We start from the raw sequence: 3,687 nt of genomic DNA, 5'->3' as shown, positions 1-3,687 counted from the left end.
TCCTTTCTACCCTGCTCCTGCCTGCCTAACCTCACTGAAGACTGCTTACATCAGAAGCAGGAAACAGGCTGGGCGCGGTGGTTCATGCCTGTAATCCCAGCACTGTGGGAGTCCGAGACGGGCGGATCACCTGAGGTCAGTGAGACCAGCCTGGCCCACATGGGGAAACTTCATCTCTACTGAAAATAAATAAATAAATAAATAAAAATTAGCCGGATGTGGTCGCAAAAGCCTGTAATCCCAGCGACTTGGGAGGCTGAGGCATGAGAATCACTTGAACCCAGGAGGCAGAGATTACAGTAAGCCGAGATCACGCCACTGCACTCCAGCTTGGGCGACAGGGAGACTCCATCTCAAAAAAAAAATAAAAAGTAGGAAATATATCGAATACTTACTATATGTATGCCAGGTACTGACAATATTTTTATTATTTCTTTTAGTTTTACAAAATCCATACAGTAAGGCACATTTATTACCTCAATTCTTACATGAGGAAAGTAACTTGCCCAGGCACACAGCTAAGTAACGGAGCAGCACTTGATCATTACTGATCTAAGACCAGCATGTTGATACCAATTACAGAGAATCTTTAATTATTCTTATAAACTAGTCCCCCAGTCTCAGACTTCAATATGGTGTCAGCTCACCTCTCCAAAGACAAGGCCAGGCCAAATTTGCAGCAACCCAATCATCATTCCCCACCTCTTCCTCAGGAAGGGACTTTCAGATATTTGACTCTAAACTTCCAAGGTTTCCCAAGGCCCTTAAAACCTTTTTAATAAAAATCAAATAATTTCTCTTTTAACAAGTATTTGAGTGTGCAATACAGTATTATTAACTCAGCATTATGTTGTACAGCAGATCTCTAGACTTATTTATCTTGCATAACTGAATTTGTATATTTATTGAACAAGTCCCCATTTCTCCCTCTCATTTTTACCACAACAAAACAAACAGAAACAAAACAAAGGGGCAAGAGGAAAGTTTTGAAATTGATGGATATGTTTATTACCTTGATTTTGGTTATGGCTTTATGGATGGATCTATGCACATGGCTAAACTCATCAAATTGCCTACATTAAATATGGGCAGCTTTTGTATGTCAATCATATCTCAATAAAACTATTTTTAGGAAAAAATACATCACAGACATTAATAAAAAGGAAAAAAGAAAGAAAAAAAGCAACATAAAGAATCTCATTTTGAGTGACAGGCAGCAGAAGGTGATCTGGTCAGAGGGGATCTCCACTTGTCTCCCCATAGCAGAGTATAGGGTCAGGAAAGCTGAGCAAGAGCTACTGAAAGGGCTCAAGCTTCCAGTGCAGCTAAGTGTGCAGCTCCCACTGCTGCTGCTTGCTGCAGCTGTCAACACCTTGCGTGTCTTCTGTACCCCACTGAGGCTTCCCAAACAGCCTCATTCCAGCTGTGCATGATTTTGTGCTCTAGAGCAGTCAAAGCAAAAGGTGGTGTTTAAAAGAAATTATATGCATACCTTGTTTTATTGTGCTTTGCATTATTGCTCTTCACATATATTGTATATGTTACAAGTTGAAGGTTTGTGGCAACCCTGCGTTGAGCAGGCCTGTAAGTACCAGTTTTCCAACAGCAAGTGCTCACCACATGTCTGTTGCATTTTGGTAATTCTTACAATATTTCAAACTTTATTATTATCATTATTATTATATCTGTTAGGTGATCTATGATCAGCAATCTTGATATTATAATTTTGTTTGGGGGCACCACAAAACACACCCATATAAGACAGCAAACTTAAATGATAAGTGTTTGTGTTCTGACTGTTCCACCTACTGGCTATTCCCCTCTCACTCTCTCCTCTCAAGCCTCCCTATTCCGAGACACAGCAATGTTGAAATTACACCAATTAATAATCCCACAATCGCCTCTAAGTGTTCAAATGAAAGGAAGAGTCGCAAGTCACTCACTGTCAATCAAAAGCTAGAAATAATTAAGCTTGGTGAGGAAGTCGTGTCAAAATCCAAGATAAGCCATTCATGATTCTTCTGATAGATCTGTACAAAGTAAACTGAAAACTTTCTGGAAAGGAGTCACCATTCTAGATGTCCTTCAAAACATTTGTGATTCATGGGAAGAGGTCAAAATATCAACATTAACAAGAGTTATGAAGAAGTTGATTCCAGCCCTTCTACATGACTTTGAGGGCTTCAAGACTTCAGTGGAGTAAGTAACTGCAGATGTGATGGAAATAGCAAGAGAACTAGAATTAGAAGTGACTGAATTGCTGCAATCTCATGATCAAATTTGAACAGATGAGGAGTTGCTTATTAGGGATGAGCAAAGAAAGTGGTTTCTTGAGATGGCATCTAATCCCAATAAGATGCTGTGAATATTATTGAAATCACAACAAAAGATTTAGAATATTCTGTAACCTTAGTTGTTACATCAGTGGCAGAGTTTGAGAAGATTGACTCAAATTTTGAAAGTTTTGGCTGGGCGCAGTGGCTCACACCTGTAATCCCAGCACTTTGGGAGGCCGAGGGGGGCGGATCACGAGGTTAGGAGATCGAGACCATCCTGGCTAACACGGTGAAACACCGTCTCTACTAAAAATACAAAAAAAAATTAGCCAGGCATGGTGGAGGGCACCTGTAGTCCCAGCTACTTGGGAGGCTGAGGCAGGAGAATGGTGTGAACCTGGGAGACGGAGCTTGCAGTGAGCAGAGATCGTGCCACTGCACTCCAACCTGGGAGACAGCGAGACTCCGTCTCAAAAAAGAAAAGAAAGAAGTTTTACTGTGAGTAAAATATTATTGAACATAATTGCATGTTACAGATAAATTCTTCATGAAAGGGTCAATGAATGCAGTAAACCTCATTGTTTTAAGAAATTTTCCCAGCCATTCCAACCTTTAGCAATCATCACACTGATCAGTCAGCAGCCACCAACCTAGAGGCAAGACTCTCCACCAGCAAAAAGATTACAACTCACTGAAGGTTCAGATAATCATTAGCAATTTTTCACACAAAAAAAGTATTTTAAAATTAATCTATATTCATTTTTTAGACACAATCCTATTGCACACTTAAACTACAGTACAGTGTAAACATAACCTACACATGCACTGTGAAACCAAAAATTTATGTGCCTAACTTTATTGCGATATTTGCTTTATTGCTGTGGTTTGGAACTGAACCCGCAATATCTCTGTGGTGTGCTTGTAGTTTAGGAATGGTATTGGGTTTTTTTATTTTTAATTAAAAACAGCAAAATAAGATGGAAGAAAAATGCTCCACAAACCCTCAATCCAACAAATTACTCCTACAGAACAATTTTCGTCTTTCCTCCTTTATACATATTTTGCATGGTTGTGATCATAGTAACTTCAGCATTTTTAGTCCTTTATTTTACTGAATATTCTATTATAAATTCGTTTTCCCATTGTAAAGTCCTCAAAATACCTTCTTAGTGGTTTTATAAATAGCATCATGTCAGGGCAATATAAATGTTAAACAATCCTCTTAGTGTGAGGTAATTGATTCCTTTTTTAAAATGTTTCCCATGATCATAGTTTATATTAACTAATAGAACGGTTACAATACACCAGACATTTTCTAGATACTCTATATTTGTGAATTCATTTAATCATCACAACAACCCACTATTTAGGCTTCATCATTCTTATTGCCATGAAGAAGCTGAGATACAGA

At 38.7% G+C, this 3,687-nt stretch overlaps 1 annotated feature.

Moving 5' to 3' along the window:
- Positions 3,230 to 3,399: an enhancer, noted in NCBI's record as "experimental_17754 CRE fragment used in MPRA reporter constructs". NCBI's record gives its function as "activates a minimal promoter by MPRAs in K562 erythroleukemia cells, with activity observed for the non-introgressed 10:86690083 variant allele {active_cell/tissue: K562}" and the evidence as "EXISTENCE:reporter gene assay evidence [ECO:0000049][PMID:34662402]".

The sequence above is a fragment of the Homo sapiens genome, chromosome 10 (assembly GCF_000001405.40).
Source record: "Homo sapiens chromosome 10, GRCh38.p14 Primary Assembly".
NCBI lineage: Eukaryota > Metazoa > Chordata > Mammalia > Primates > Hominidae > Homo > Homo sapiens.
This window is presented reverse-complemented; position numbering and strand designations above follow the sequence as displayed.